The sequence below is a fragment of the Homo sapiens genome, chromosome 10 (assembly GCF_000001405.40).
Source record: "Homo sapiens chromosome 10, GRCh38.p14 Primary Assembly".
NCBI classification, from domain to species: Eukaryota; Metazoa; Chordata; class Mammalia; order Primates; family Hominidae; genus Homo; species Homo sapiens.
The window spans coordinates 102,359,024-102,374,647 of NC_000010.11; the positions used below are offsets into that span (position 1 = coordinate 102,359,024).

A 15,624-nucleotide genomic window follows, 5' to 3' on the forward strand; every position below is an offset into this window, starting at 1 on the left:
GTGAGAGGCTCTGTGTCTCTAAGGTTCTAGTCATTGTAGGTCAGTGAAGCCTCAGGAGATGTTTTTCTGAGTCCTTCATCATACTCCTACCTGAGCCATCTTGCGGTGATTCATAAACCACTGAGTTGGCCCTACATCTGTAGCCCATTAGAGACAGCTTGGAAGACAGCTACTTCAGGGGAGTAAGTTCCAAGTTGCTCTTGCCTCATCCCTCTTCCCATATCTCCCTGCTACTGGTCATAGCAGGAAGGGACCCATGTGGAAAAGTCCCAGTCAGCATCTGTGGAGTCCATCCCTGAAGTGTTAGAGGAGTGCACGTCCCCTGCCGACCACTCTGACTCTGCCTCTGTCCATGACATGGATTACGTCAATCCCCGGGGCGTGCGCTTTACACAGTCCTCCCAGAAAGAAGGTGGGTATTCTGGTAGGCTCTGCCAATTCACCTCCCCCATCCTACCTACTAAGCTGCCTGAGCCTAGACCGTCTTAAACCAAGATATTGGACTACTGCCTGTTGCTCCAAGTTCTAGGCTATTTTCTAGTCAGGAAATGGAGTCAAGCCATAGACTGTTGGCATGGAGGGAGCCCTTCCCTAACTTATACTACAGGGAGGAAGTTTGATGGGCAATAGGAAGCAAGAAGGAAGGGAAAAAAGCTTAGGACTTTTAACAGAAAGGTAGGATCATCAATTCTGATTTCCTCCAGAAGTAGACTAGTCCCCTCATGTCCCCAGGAAAAAAAAAAAAATCCTTTTCCTTTTTTTTTTTTTTTCCTGTCGCCCAGGCTGGATTGCTGCAGTGGCACAATCACAGCTCACTATATCCTCGACTTCCTGGGTTCAAGCAATCCTCCCACCTCAGCCTCCCAAGTATTTGAGACTATAGGCATGCACCACTGCACTTGGCTACTTTTAAAAAATCTTCTGTAGAGATGGGGTCTCTCTGTGTTGCCTGGGCTGGTCTCAAACTCCTGGCCTCAAACAGTCCTCCCACCTTAGCCTCCCAAAGCACTAGGATTACAGGCATGAGCCATCACGCCCAGCCCTTTTCTTCAAAGAGAATCACTTACCTAAAATTGCCTTGTGTAATGCAGAGCAGGCTAGGCAAAGCCAGCAGACTAGTTGTTTTATAGCAGTCTCACTCTCCTCCTGGCCTTCCCCAGGCACAGCTTTGGTCCCCTATGGTCTTCCCTGCATCCGCGAGCTCTTCCGCTTCCTCATCTCCCTCACCAATCCACACGACCGCCATAACTCAGAGGTTATGATTCACATGGGACTGCATTTGCTGACAGTGGCCCTTGAGTCAGCCCCTGTAGCCCAGTGCCAGACCCTCTTGGGCCTCATCAAGGATGAGATGTGCCGTCACTTATTCCAGGTAAGACAAGATTGCTAGAGGGTCTCAGAGCCTCTTTCAAGGGCCAGGGGAACACAGGGAGGTCTGGCTGATTACGCAAAGAGTATAGGACCTAGGAAAGCATCTCCCTCCCAGTTGGCTAGTAGTTTTAGTAAGAGGGTTCCAGTAGTTCCCCAGGGACTCTGGCAGCCAGAGAGAAATATAGGAATGGCTAGATGTAGAGTTCCCTGGAAGCAATGGACCTCAGTGACACCTTCACTCAGTTTGCCTCTTCTGCCTCTCTTGGTTGAGCCATAGTCAGCTTCAGAAACCTCACAGCCGGGCTGGGTGCAGTGGCTCACGCCTGTAATCCCAGCACTTTGGGAGGCCAAGGCGGGCGGATCACGAGGTCAGGAGATTGAGACCAGCCTGACCAATGTGGTGAAACCCAGTCTCTACTAAAAATATCAAATTAGCTGGGCATGGTGACGTGCGCCTGTAATCCCAGCTTCTTGGGAGGCTGAGGAAGGAGAATATCTTAAACCCAGGAGGCAGAGGTTGCAGTGAGCTGAGATTGCGCCACTGCACTCCAGCGTGGGCAACAGAGTGAAACTCCGCCTCAAAAAAAAAAAAAAAAAACTCATGGCCTACCCTGCTCTCATCTCCAGCTACTCAGCATAGAGCGACTAAACCTTTATGCTGCTTCCCTGCGAGTATGCTTCCTACTGTTTGAGAGCATGCGAGAGCACCTCAAGTTCCAAATGGAGGTGAGTTTCTTGATGTGGAAAGAAAAGGGGGAAAAAAAATAGGGAGATATATGGCATCTTCAGTGGGGCCAGCTCTATCATGCTACAGGGGTAGGATTTAGGGACTTCCTATAGGAGAGTCCTTTTAGCCTCCAGAGTTCGGTTCAATCAACTGGCCTCTTTTGTGGAAAAGTTAAAAGGAGACCAAAGGAAACTGGCTGACCCCAAATATGAGAACTGCCAGGTAACCTTACCATGAATAGGGACAGCTCTTCTGCCCAGCAGTTACTCTGCAACACAGGTAGGTAAGTCAAGCCAGCATTGTCACTAAATTGCTAAAAGGAACTCTAAATAGGACCAGGTCATGTTCACATAGCACAAAAGGGCAAGAGGCAACTTGTCTGGGACCAGGTATGTGGTAGAGAGCCAGGCCTTATCCCCCAACATGGAGGCCAAAGAAGAGATATATTTAGGGGATGGAATACCTTTGGGTGTCTCTTAATACATGCCTCTAGGCTGGGCTTCTGCATCCTGTTTAATGTTTTTCCTGTCTAATTTTTTCTCTTCCTATCTTGAATCCTTTCCCCACCCAAATGGCAATTACTGGGTTATTGCCAGATGTACATCAAAAAGCTTATGGAGATCATCACTGTGGAGAACCCCAAGATGCCTTATGAGATGAAGGAGATGGCACTGGAGGCCATTGTGCAGCTCTGGCGCATCCCCAGCTTTGTCACAGAGCTCTACATCAACTATGATTGTGACTACTACTGTTCCAACCTCTTTGAGGAACTCACAAAGCTGCTGTCCAAGGTGCTGAGCACTATAACTGGCTTCTAGGAAAAAACGCATTATAAAGGAAATCTCCCTGGTGGTAGTGAGGATGTTACATACAGAGAGGGGAACACTTGAGAGCTGGGAAATAGAAGAAAGGCATTTTCTTTTCTTTTCTTTTTTTTTTTTTTTTTTTTTTTTGAGATGGAGTCTCACTCTGTTGCCCAGGCTGGAGTGCAGTGGCGCGATCTCGGCTCACTGCAAGCTCCACCTCCCGGGTTCACACCATTCTCCTGCCTCAGCCTCCCGAGTAGCTGGGACTACAGGTGCCCACCACCACGCCCGGCTAATTTTTTGTATTTTTAGCAGAGACGGGGTTTCACCATGTTAGCCAGGATGGTCTCGATCTCCTGACCTTGTGATCCACCCGCCTCGGCCTCCCAAAGTGCTGGGATTACAGGCATGAGCCACCACGCCCGGCCAGAAAGACGTTTTCTAAGGGCAATGTACAAGTTAGAAGAAGTTTTGGAAATTTTAGAAAATGATCAAAGTGTAAAGTGTTCTCCTAACTACAAGTCCAATTGATCTGTTTACTTTCCAGAATGCCTTCCCTGTGTCTGGTCAACTCTATACAACACACCTACTATCTCTTGATGCCCTATTGACAGTGATTGACAGCACCGAGGCCCACTGCCAGGCTAAAGTCCTCAACAGCCTCACCCAGCAAGAGAAGAAGGAGACAGCCAGACCAAGCTGTGAGATAGTAGATGGCACCCGAGAAGCTAGCAATAGTGAGAGGCATTTCTTTCTTTGATGAACCCAGTGTTCTATGCTTATCCCTTCTCTACTCTCTGAGTCGTTTTTCCTGTCCCCATATCACTTCCCCTGGGATGCTCCCAATTCTGTTTCTGGGCTTTGGCAGTTTAAATCACAGGCCAGTCAGGCAGATTAGTAGAACTCATAGCCTTCTCCCTTTTTCCTCCTCCCCACTTTGGTTTTTTACAGAATTATTATTTCTTTATGGCAAGAGAAGAGAACAGAGATTAAAGAATATAGGATTTCTGTCTCTGAAAGCTCCAGGTCCCACCATCCCTCATCCCCAATATCTGCCTCCACTCTAATTAGTCCTCTCTAGCTCCCCCTTGAAATTTGAGGTTGCAGAAGATCAGGGAAAGTGACTGGGTAATCTCTTCATTAAATTAGAGAATCTAATGCTTGGCTGGGACAGGGACTACTTATTTTGGCTTGGGTTTGTCCTGCTCAGGGCTGGCGCCCTGTGCAGGAACCATGCAGGTCTTCTGGGCTTGGGATTTGATCTATCCTGCAGCTCTGCTTGGCTTCATACCCTATAAGTCTTCACGTATCTTCTTCTCTCTTACCAGCTGAGAGAACTGCCAGCGATGGGAAAGCTGTAGGCATGGCCTCAGACATCCCAGGCCTGCATCTGCCAGGTGGAGGGCGGCTGCCACCAGAACATGGGAAATCAGGATGCAGTGATCTGGAGGAAGCTGTTGACTCTGGGGGTGGGTACTGGGTGTCCATGACCCTAAGCTCCTCACCTGGAGGGCCTGGTGAAGAGCAGAGGGAGGGAGCAGACACCTAGGATAGTAACTAAGCAAGCCTTGGTAGCCCGCCTCGCCTTCAGACTCAGAGAGAGGGAAGCAAACATATGGACCCTCAGTTGATAGGACTTCCAGGGAAGTGGAAGACTGGTGAGGACAAGATTTCTGAGGCTCCTTCTTGAAACTGGGGAGTATATTGGTGACCTTCCAAAAGTCCTTATCTGGGTAAAAAAAGGTGTTACAGATATTTCCCCCCTCTTCTTCCTACTCCTAGCTGACAAAAAGTTTGCCCGGAAGCCACCCCGATTTTCCTGTCTCCTGCCAGATCCACGGGAACTAATTGAAATTAAAAACAAAAAGAAGGTACATACATGTATTCCCCAGCCTCTGTCCACCTCTGTCTGGGTGTCCAGTGTTGTAGGGTTTCCATCTCAGAAGATGAAGGAGAGTCTAGCACCTCATTGTACAGCTTCCTGAGGCCAGTCTTTGGGCTTGTTGGGACTTCAGCAACTCCCATTTGAAGCCCTTCCCTTACTCCTAAGCTATGTAGTTGAGCATACCCTATGTATGCCCCTGCGCAAATGCTGTACCAGTTGAGAGCCAAGTGTCACTAGTGGCAGTGACAGGAGCCTTGGGAGTTGGTGTCTTGTGGGTCATTGAAGGTTACTGTCATCTCCAGCTCTTGCAAGATGATTGGCAATAAAGGGAAATTGATATTCATTCTGGTGCTTTAGTAAGGTTCAAATAGTAAGGTTCAAATAACTGTTTGTACTTTGGATTTCTTTTTTTTTTTTTTTTTTTTTTTTTCAGACGGAGTCTCTCTCTGTTGCCTAGGCTGGAGTGCAGTGGCATGATCTCAGCTCACTGCAACCTCCACCTACCGGGTTCAAGCAATTCTTCTGCCTCAGGCTCCCAAGTAGCTGGGACTACAGGCGTGTGCCACCATGCCTGGCTAATTTTTTGTATTTTTAGTAGAGACGGGGTTTCACCGTGTTAGCCAGGGTGGTCTTGATCTCCTGACCTCGTGATCTGCCCACCTTGGCCTCCCAAAGTGCTGGGATTACAGTCGTGAGCCACCATGTCTGGCCTGTACTTTGGGTTTCTTAACACAAAGAAAACCTAACCCTTTCTGGCCGGGCGCAGTGGCTCACGCCTGTAATCCCAGCACTTTGGGAGATCGAGGTGGGCAGATCACCTGAGGTCAGGAGTTTGAGACCAGCCTGGCTAACACGATGAAACCCCGTCTCTACTAAAAATACAAAAATTAGCTGGGCATGGTGGTGCATGCCTGTAATCCCAGCTACTCGGGAGACTGAGGCAGGAGAATCAGTTGAACCTGGGAGGCAGAGGTTGCAGTGAGCTGAGATCACGCCACTGCACTCCAGCCTGGGCAACAGAGTGAAACTCCATCTCGGAAAAAGAAAAAAAAAACCTAACCCTTTCTTTCTCTTATTGCCAGCTTAAATGACTTTGGTTCATGTGTGCCCTTGAGTACCTGGCCGTGACTGGACATACAGAAATATGAGTTGCCTCCACAGTTAGTCCACTTTGTCTTTCAAACCCAGGGCATTAAGCTAGGCAACCAAAGAAGCTAAGCTAGGCTAAAAACAAGAGGCTGGCTATCAACAAATGTCAGGGATGGATATAAAACTGGAGAGAAGAATTACCTAGTTTCTTTCTTCTACTTTTCCCCCAATCCTAAGTTAGAGAAGAGGAACTGTTTTATGTATCTTGAGCACTCAGGAAAGGAGTAAAAAAGAGCTCGTAAGCCAATTCAATTAGACATGAAGATGGGGGAAGCTAAGGCCATTATGATCTAGCCTTAGTTCTGTAATCACTAAGAACCACATCCTAGGAGCTTTTTAGCTGACCAACTGTGGGTGGGCTATGGTGGACTCCAGGCTGGCCTTGTCTAATTTAGAGGCAAAGTAGCTTCTATACCTCTAGTTTTTCTCATGCAGCTGCTAATCACTGGCACAGAGCAGTTCAATCAGAAACCAAAGAAGGGGATTCAGTTTCTGCAAGAGAAAGGCCTCCTCACCATCCCAATGGACAACACAGAGGTTGCTCAGTGGCTCCGAGAGAACCCTCGGCTGGACAAGAAGATGATTGGAGAGTTTGTGAGTGACCGCAAAAACATTGACCTGTTGGAGAGCTTTGTGAGGTGAGGAAGCTGTAAGAAATGTGGGATATAGCCAGGTATGGTGGCTCATGCCTGTAATCCTGACACTTTGGGAGGCTGAGGCAGGCAGATCACTCGAGCTCAGGAGTTCAAGACCAGCCTGGGCAACATGGTGAAACCCTGTCTCTACAAAAAATACAAAAATTAGCTGGGCATGGTGGCATGTGCCTGTAGTCCCAGCTGTTCAGGAGGCTGAGGCAGGAAGATCACTTGAGTCTGGGAGTTCGAGGCTGCAGTGAGCTGTGATCATGCCACTGTGATAGAGTGAGATAGAGTGAGATAGAGTGAGATCATGCCACTGTGATAGAGCTGTGATAGAGTGAGACCTTGGCTCAAAAAAAAAAAAGGTGGGACATGGTTAGTGATCAGTTTAAAGGGACAGAACATCCCTACCTCAAAGCGGTCTCTATAAATTTCTTCTGGAGACCCTAGCCAATGTTCTTCCTCTACCCATCATTTATATCTATTGGACCTGAAAGGGACTCCAACGAGATAGTTTGGGGAGCCCCCTCCATTCTGCATGGAGTCCATTCCAAAGGGGTAGAGCAGGGTTCCAGGGGGTGAGGGTTCTAGGCAAGAGTCCGTGGATGTGAAAAGTATTAAGGCTAGGGGTTGTGTTAGGGATGAACAGGAGATACTGCCCCTTTACTAGAGACCTCAGCCTCCTCTCTTCCAGTAAGAGTAGGTTAGGAGGACAGTGACTAAAAGAGCCTGACATGTGCAGCTTACACATTTTCAGCCTCTTCTTCCTTTCTTTCCCTATAGCACCTTCAGTTTTCAGGGTCTGCGACTGGACGAAGCCCTCCGCCTCTACCTGGAAGCCTTCCGTTTGCCTGGGGAAGCACCAGTCATCCAGAGGTTGCTGGAGGCATTCACAGAGCGTTGGATGGTGAGTTTGAGTGTCAGGGGCTGAGCCCAGGATCCAAGGTCAGTTTGACTGAGGGCTGAAGAATCCAGCTGCTGTCTCTTTTTTTTTTTTTTTTTTTTGAGACAGAGTCTCGCTCTGTCACCCAGGCTGGAGTGCAGTAGCGCAGTCTCAGCACACTGCAACCTCCACCCCCCGGGTTCAAGCAATTCTCCTGCCTTAGCCTCCTGAGTAGCTGGGATTTCAGGCACCTGCCACCAAGCCTGGCTAATTTTTGTATTTTTAGTAGAGATGGGTTTTGCCATGTTGGTCAGGCTGGTCTCGAACTCCTGATCTCGGGTGATCCGCCCACCTCGGCCTCCCTGAGTGCTGGGATTACAAGCGTGAACCACCGCACCCAGCCTGCTGTCTCTTAAAAAGTCAGAGAGCAAAATTAGTGACCTTTCCACAAAGAGATCAGCTTCTGTTAAGGAGTTGGCAAGAGACTGGCCACTTTCTGGATGGTACCTCTCCTCTGTACTAGCACTGACCAGTGGGTTGGTAGTGAGGGTTTAATTGGCCAGAGAAGGGCATTGACACAGGCGGGATCTTTGCTTTTTCAGAATTGTAATGGCTCCCCATTTGCCAATAGCGATGCCTGCTTTTCCCTGGCCTATGCTGTCATCATGCTTAATACTGACCAGCACAACCACAATGTTCGTAAACAGAATGCACCCATGACCCTGGAGGTAAGCTTGGGTCCCAGTCAAGGCAAAGAAGACCCAGCACAGCTTGGGAGGTAGCAGGAAGGACATAGGATTTCCAGTGGGCATGATGGATGGGGTTCTGTCCAAGGGAATCAGGAAGGGCTGGCCAACCTAGAAAAGGGACTGGGGTGGGGAAGTGGGTTTTTTCGCTTACCTTTTCCTAAGTCCTATTTACTGAAAACCCAGGAGTTCCTTAGGTGGGGCTTCAGTGTTGACACAAGGGGAAAAAACTTACTGGCCTGTCTCTAGGAGTTTCGCAAAAATCTGAAAGGTGTGAATGGAGGCAAGGACTTTGAGCAAGACATCCTGGAGGACATGTACCATGCCATCAAGTGAGTATACATAGAGAATAGTGCAGTATCTCTGTTAAGAAGAAGCACATTGCTTCCTTTCCCAGTTTTTAGAGTCATGTCAGACTGCAGTGACTCACATGCCCTGGATTTAGCCTCAGGACTTAGTTGGGCAGCCCCCTCTCTGCCAACTGTTTCTTCCTTAAAGAAGCCCAAATGATATTGGGACTCTAGTACTCTAAGCCAGGGTCCAAAGTGCTGCTCTTAAGTAGGATATCATGGCCCCATTTTCTGAACTTAAAACAGGTACATTTTCCTGTATAGATTACAAGATGCTGGCTGGTAGAGAACCCAAGATGGGCACTGGAGTGTGAGGCCCAGGTTACAGGTCAGAAATGGGCCACTTAGTTTTTTACTGTAAATCAGAAAAGGTAGAATTGTTCATTTTATCACACCTAGTAAGAATGTGTGATCTTACTATAGAACTAAAGGCCTCACTTACAGATAGGGCTTTGAGATTATGGGACACTTCCTTTCTTTCTGTCTGCTCCCACTGGTGGGTGGAAAGCAGACCACTGAGCTGCAGTTCTGATGACCTCTCATCAGTGGAGAGTGCTAGTATGGATGAACTCCTAGTCTTGGTTTGGAACTAGTCAGGTTCAAAGCAGTGCAACTGCTCCTTCCCTTACCTCCTGACAGGAATGAGGAAATTGTAATGCCTGAGGAGCAGACAGGCTTGGTTCGGGAGAACTATGTGTGGAATGTGCTGCTTCATCGAGGTGCCACCCCTGAGGGCATATTCCTGCGTGTGCCTACTGCCAGCTATGATCTTGACCTCTTCACCATGACCTGGGGCCCCACTATTGCTGCTCTCTCTTATGTCTTTGACAAAAGCCTTGAGGAGACAATCATCCAGAAAGCCATCTCAGGCTTCAGGTAGCCCAGCTTTGGCCTTGGTCTTCACCTCCCACTAGCTCTGTGAGCTAACATGGTTTTCTCCATGCCTCTCTGACTCCTACTGTTACTTCATTAGAATGGGGTTCCCCCTGAGTTTTTGGAGGGAGGCTGAAGCTTGGGTAGGCTCAGTCTTAAACAGAAACAAAATTAAAAGGTTTCTTCCTGGGACTGACTGGGGAAGAGCCCCATGCAAGCTCAGGGACTTGGAAGGGCTGCTTGGCCTTCCAGTGACTCTGTTTCTGGGATGGGGGGTAACATTACAGGAAGTGCGCCATGATCTCCGCCCACTATGGCCTCAGCGATGTGTTTGACAATCTCATCATCTCTCTATGCAAATTCACAGCTCTCAGCAGTGAGGTGAGCAGGTGCAGGAACTGTGTACTTGGAGCTCCAAAGGAGGACCTCTCTTTTAGCCATGGATCTACCCTTATCAACAGACCTGGTTGCCCTCAGCGTCTTCCCTCACTGCCCCCACTTGAATATACCAGAGCTTAGGCCATTTCTGTCTTGCACACTCTGGGATAAAACTAGTGTTACTTCATGTAATGGGGATGGGAAAGGAGATACAGGAGTGGGGAAGGCCTTAACTAGGTTAACCCACTCCCACCAGTATTATGGGGGATTGAAGCAGAGCCAACAAAAGGACCTGAGGGAACCATCATAGGCAGAGACCTAAGAGATTTTCCTTTCCAGACATTAGCTCGGCCTTAAGTCTGTTCTCTTCCTCTTTTCCAGTCTATTGAGAACCTGCCCAGTGTATTTGGAAGCAACCCTAAAGCCCATATTGCAGCCAAGACAGTATTCCATTTGGCCCATCGTCATGGTGACATCCTGCGGGAGGGCTGGAAGAATATCATGGAGGCCATGCTGCAGCTCTTCCGAGCCCAACTACTGCCCAAGGCTATGATAGAGGTAATTCTTAGTAGGAGACTAGTGAGCGATAACAAGGCAAGAGCTGCAACATTGTATGCTACCTGTACATAGAAGTAAGTGGTTGAGAGTAATGTTGGGCCTGATGCCTGCCACAGCTCACCAGGAATGCCTCAAATGTAAGACCACAGATCTTGGGGGATAGCTGTAAAAGAAGGCTGGTAGATGCCATTGCCAGTCACCAATTGGCACAATAGCATAGGGGCAGAAGACTAGAGGAGGAAATCCAGAGAACTTTGGTGGGTGGAGGCGGGCACAAATGCAAAGGACACATGGAAAGAAATTATTTTGACTTACTTTTCCAGGTAGAAGATTTCGTGGATCCCAATGGCAAGATCTCTCTACAGCGGGAAGAGACACCATCAAACCGGTAAGAGCAGACCAGAGGCTCAGGGGCTTGGGGAGGGAGAGTCAGAACTTTGGGGCTCACCAGGCCATGTGCCCTTTTTCTACAGAGGAGAGTCAACAGTGCTGAGCTTTGTGAGCTGGCTAACACTGAGTGGTCCTGAGCAGTCTAGTGTTCGGGGCCCATCCACTGAAAACCAAGAGGCCAAGAGAGTGGCCTTAGAGTGTATAAAGGTAACTGCCCATCCACCCCTGGTGAGAAAGCCTAAACACCTTCCTATTAGATGCTACTTGGTGAACTGAAGAATAAATCATCCAGGATTTGTAACCAGGGCTGACTCTGCCCTCTCCCCCTGGCTCTTGGGGACATTCTGTTCTCTTCAGCCTTTGTCAAAGACCCCCTCTCTCTTTTGCCCTCTCTAGCAATGTGACCCAGAAAAAATGATCACAGAAAGCAAGTTCCTCCAGCTGGAGTCACTACAGGAGCTCATGAAGGTAAAGGATGAAGAAAGGAAACATGGAACAACTGGCTGAATCTGGGAGGGGTGACAGGGACAGTATTATTTCTGTCAGGGCAGGGCCAGTGGTTGGCTTCTTTTCCATGCCTACTTTCCTGCTGCTGTTCCCCTTCAGGCTCTGGTCTCAGTGACACCAGATGAAGAGACATATGATGAGGAAGATGCTGCTTTCTGCCTAGAGATGCTGCTAAGGATTGTGTTGGAGAACAGGTAAGATGAGCGTAGTCTTTAGGCAGACCCCATGCTGGGCTTGTGCCAAAGGGATGGAAGCCATCTTGCTGAGTGGGCTCTGGGGAACTGTAGGCAGCAGGGGAGAAGCTTACTCATCATACCTGTCTACTTAGGGTATAATACCAATGAGTCCTGAAAGGCCTAGGGGACCTGTTGCCCAGTGGCCCCTCTGGCTGAGACTATCTTCATTCCTTTATGTCTACACAGGGATCGTGTGGGCTGTGTGTGGCAGACTGTTCGAGACCATCTATACCACCTCTGTGTTCAGGCACAAGATTTCTGCTTCCTTGTGGAGCGGGCAGTGGTGGGGTTGCTACGCCTGGCCATTCGGCTTCTCCGGAGAGAAGAGATCAGTGCTCAGGTAAGCAGAATGCATCTTGGAGAGTGGGCAGGTATGCAAGGGATTAAGGCCACAGTTGTCAATTATGAATATGGCCTGAGACAGAGAGTACATTTAGTGCCCCATAGCATGAGTCCAGTGACCAACCACAGGGCTGGTGCAGTCTAGCGGGTGGTACTGGGAGTGAGCCTGGAATGGCCTCAGGCATGGAGCTTGTGTTTGGCACCTCAGCCTCCTATGAATCTGCTTTGTAGGACTGGCCTGCTACTGCCTTATAATAGTCTCAGCCCTATACCTGGTTTCCTGTCATGCTTATGACCCTCTTGAGATCTCTTTGCTTAACTACAAAAAACAACAAGCATAGAACTAATAAGTGGATTCAACAAGGTCACAGGATGTGAGATCAATACACAAAAAGTAATTATATCTCTACATGCTAACAATGAACAATATGGAAACTGAAATTTAAAATACAATACCATTTACAAGGGTTCCAAATAAAGTGAAATACTTAATATATAGCTGACAAAACATGTATAAGATTTGTATGATGAAAACTACAAAACTACAAAATAAATTGAAGAAGATGTAAATAAATGAAGAGGCATACTATGTTCATGGATTGGAAGGCTCAACATAGTAACTTTGTCACTTCTCCCCAAATTGATCTGTAAATTCAACATAACTCCTATAAAAATCCCAGAAAGGTTCTTGTAGACATAGGTAAGCTTATTCTAAAATTTAGATGGAAAGGCACAAGCTCTAGAATAGCTAGAAAGAATAAAGTGGAAAGAATCACTCTCTCTGGGCCGGTTGCTGTGGTTCATGCCTGTAATCTCAGCACTGCGGGAGGCCACAGCGGGCAGATCACTTGAGGTCAGGAGTTCAAGGCCAGCCTGGCCAACATGGTGAAACCCCATCTCTACTAAAAACACAAAAATTAGCAGGGTGTGGTGGCACACACCTGTAATCCTAGCTACTTGGGAGGCTGAGGCAGGAGAATCGCTTGAACTCAAGGCGGAGGTTGCAGTGAGCTGAGATCGCGCCACTGCACTCCAGCTGGGTGACAGAGTGAGATTCTGTCTCAAAAAAAAAAAAAAAGAATCACTCTGGTATTAAGACTTACTGTCCACTTTGGGGGGCTGAGGCGGGTGGATCACGAGGTCAGGAGATCAAGACCAGCCTGACTAACGTGGTGAAACCCCGTCTCTACTAAAAATAGAAAAATTAGCTGGGCGTGATGGTGAGCGCCTGATTGCTACTCGGGAGGCTGAGGCAGGAGAATCGCTTGAACCTGGGAGGCGGAGGTTGCAGTGAGCCAAGATTGCGCCACTGCACTCCAGCCTGGGCAACACAGCGAGACTCCATCTCAAAAAAAAAAAAAGACTTACTCTCGGCTGGACACAGTGGCTCACGTCTGTAATCCCAACACTTTGTGAGGCCAAGGCAGGCAATCACCTGAGGTTGGGAGTTCGAGACCAGCCTGACCAACATGGAGAAACCTCGTCTCTACTAAAAATACAGAATTAGCCAGGCATGGTGGGGCATGCCTGTAATCCCAGCTACTCAGGAGGCTGAGGCAGGAGAATCACTTGAACCTGGGAGGCAGAGGTTGTAGTAAGCCAAGATCACACCATTGCACTCCAGCCTGGACAGCGAAACTCTGTCTCAAAAAAAAGACTTACTGTATAGCTATAGTAGTCAAGATTATGTGGTGTCGATGGAGGGACAGACACGTAGATCAATGGAAAAGAATAGAGAGACCAGAAATAAGCTCAACACAAATATGTTCAGTGGATTTTTTGACCAAGATGTAAGAACAATTCAGTGGAGGAGGAATAGCCTTTTCAATAAGTGGTGGAGTGATTAAAATCCATAGGAGGAAAAACCAAATGAACCTTGACCTAAACCTCATACCTTACAGGAAAATTAACTCCAATGGATCATAGATTTAAATGTAAAGCTATAAAAACTTTAGAAACAGGAGAAAATCTTCAGGATCTAGAGCTAAGCAAAGAATTTTTAGCATGTTTGGCAGTCCTGTGGATCTGTCTCTTGCCTCAACACTGTCTGGATGGAACAGATCCGGGGGAGACTCTCTTTCAAAAAAAGTAATAATTTTTAGACTTGACATTAAAAGCACAATCTAGAAAAGGAAAAATTGATAAGTTGGGCTACATTAATATTTTTAAAAGTTTTGTTCTATGAGAGCCTATGTGAAGAGGATGAAAAGACAAGCTGTAGACGAGGAGGAAATATTTGCAAATCACATATTTGAAGAAAGGTATCTGTAATATAAAAACTCTCAAAACACAACAGTGATAAAACAATCCAATTATTAATAGAAAATGGACAAAACATAGGAACAGATGTTTCACCAAAGAACACATACAGATGGCAGATAGGCACATGAAATGAAGATAGCATCATTAACCATCAGAGTACTGCAAACTAAAACCACAATGAGGCTCACACCTGTAAGCCCAGCACTTTGGGAGGCTGAGGTGGGTGGATCACCTGAGGTCAGGAGTTTGAGCCCAGCCTGGCCAACATGGTGAAACCATGTCTCTACCAATAAATACAAAAATTAGCTGGGCGTGGTCACACACACCTGTAGTCTCACCTACTGAGGAGATTGAGGTGGGAGGATCGCTTGAACGCAGGAGGTTGCAGTGAGCTGAGATCGTGCCACTGCACTCCTGCCTGGGTGACAGAGCAAGACTCCAAAAAATAAAAACACAATGAGACATCACTACCCACTTTTCAGAATGGCTGAAATAAAAAGTAGTGACAATACCAAATGCTGAAAGGACGTGGAGAAACTGGGTCATTCATATATTGCTGGGTGGGAATGTAAAATGGTACAGCTACTCTGCTGGCAGTTTCTTATAAAATGAAACATATAATTACCATACAACCCAGCAATTGCACCCTTGGACATTTATCCCAGAAAAGTGAAAGCTTACTTTCTCATAAAAACCTGTACATGAATGTTTATAGAAGCCTTAGTTGTAATAGCCAAAAACTGGAATCGGCCCAGATGACTTTCAATAGGTGAATAAACTGTGGTACATACACACCATGGAATACTATTCAGCAATTTAAAGCAACAGACATCTCCAGGGAACTATGCTGAGTGAAAGAAAAGCCAATCTAAAAAGGTTATGTAATATATAATTCCACTTATATAACATTTTTGAAATGACAGAACTTTAGAATTTGAAGACAGGCTGGGCGCAGTGGCTCACACCTGTAATCCCAGCACTTTGGGAAACTGAGGCTGGTGAATCACTTGAGGTCAGGAGTTCGAGACCAGCCTGGCCAACATGGTGAAACCCCATCTCTACTAAAAATACAAAAATTAGCCAGGCGTGGTGGCTCGCACCTGTAATCCCATCTACTTGGGAGGCTGAGGCAGGAGAATCACTTGAACATGGGAAGCAGAGGTTGCAGTGAGCTGAGATCCTGCCTGCACTCTAGCCTGGGCAACAGAGTAAGACTCCATCTCAAAAAAAAAAAGAATTTGAAGACAGATTGCTAAGGATTAGGGATGGGGGCAGGAAGGAGGAGGTGGGTGTGGTTATAAAAGGGCAACATGAGCTGGGCATGGTGGTGCATGCCTGTAGTTCCAGCTACTCTGGAGGCTGAGACAGGAGGATCACTTGCGCCCAGGAGTTTGAGGCTGCTGTGAGCTATGATCATACCACTGCACTCCAGCCTGGGTGACAGAGCAAAACCTGTCTCTAAAAAAAGAAAAAGGCAACATGAGGGATACTGTTGTGGTGGAACTGTTCAGTATGTTGTTTTG

General features: G+C 47.4%; 1 protein-coding gene across 39 annotated transcripts in view, besides 1 other annotated feature; it reads left to right on the plus strand.

The window, feature by feature from the left end:
- The window catches only part of GBF1 (golgi brefeldin A resistant guanine nucleotide exchange factor 1), a 152,254-nt gene that overhangs the window by 128,381 nt on the left and 8,249 nt on the right, over positions 1-15,624 (plus strand). For 12 of the 39 annotated variants that reach the window (NR_165086.1, NR_165087.1, NM_001391924.1 and 9 more), the window contains 19 exons: positions 247-412; positions 1,161-1,372; positions 1,999-2,097; positions 2,695-2,889; positions 3,452-3,641; positions 4,233-4,373; positions 4,687-4,775; positions 6,374-6,576; positions 7,360-7,483; positions 8,062-8,187; positions 8,455-8,537; positions 9,195-9,431; positions 9,716-9,809; positions 10,188-10,364; positions 10,688-10,752; positions 10,838-10,961; positions 11,151-11,222; positions 11,361-11,455; positions 11,684-11,837. Coding sequence is in view for 33 of the 39 variants with exons in the window: in NM_001391924.1 (NP_001378853.1) it covers positions 247-412; positions 1,161-1,372; positions 1,999-2,097; positions 2,695-2,889; positions 3,452-3,641; positions 4,233-4,373; positions 4,687-4,775; positions 6,374-6,576; positions 7,360-7,483; positions 8,062-8,187; positions 8,455-8,537; positions 9,195-9,431; positions 9,716-9,809; positions 10,188-10,364; positions 10,688-10,752; positions 10,838-10,961; positions 11,151-11,222; positions 11,361-11,455; positions 11,684-11,837 (2,646 nt within the window). In the remaining 6 variants the exon portion in view is untranslated. Of the gene's footprint in view, positions 1-243; positions 413-1,160; positions 1,373-1,998; positions 2,098-2,694; positions 2,890-3,451; positions 3,642-4,232; positions 4,374-4,686; positions 4,776-6,373; positions 6,577-7,359; positions 7,484-8,061; positions 8,188-8,454; positions 8,538-9,194; positions 9,432-9,715; positions 9,810-10,187; positions 10,365-10,687; positions 10,753-10,837; positions 10,962-11,150; positions 11,223-11,360; positions 11,456-11,683; positions 11,838-15,624 lie in introns of those variants that run through there. The other 27 variants (NM_001391923.1, XM_006718047.3, XM_006718049.3 and 24 more) reach the window with 13 other exon arrangements.
- Positions 2,816-3,016: a silencer, noted in NCBI's record as "peak1080 fragment used in MPRA reporter construct". NCBI's record gives its function as "represses an SCP1 promoter by STARR-seq MPRAs in K562 erythroleukemia cells {active_cell/tissue: K562}" and the evidence as "EXISTENCE:reporter gene assay evidence [ECO:0000049][PMID:32103011]".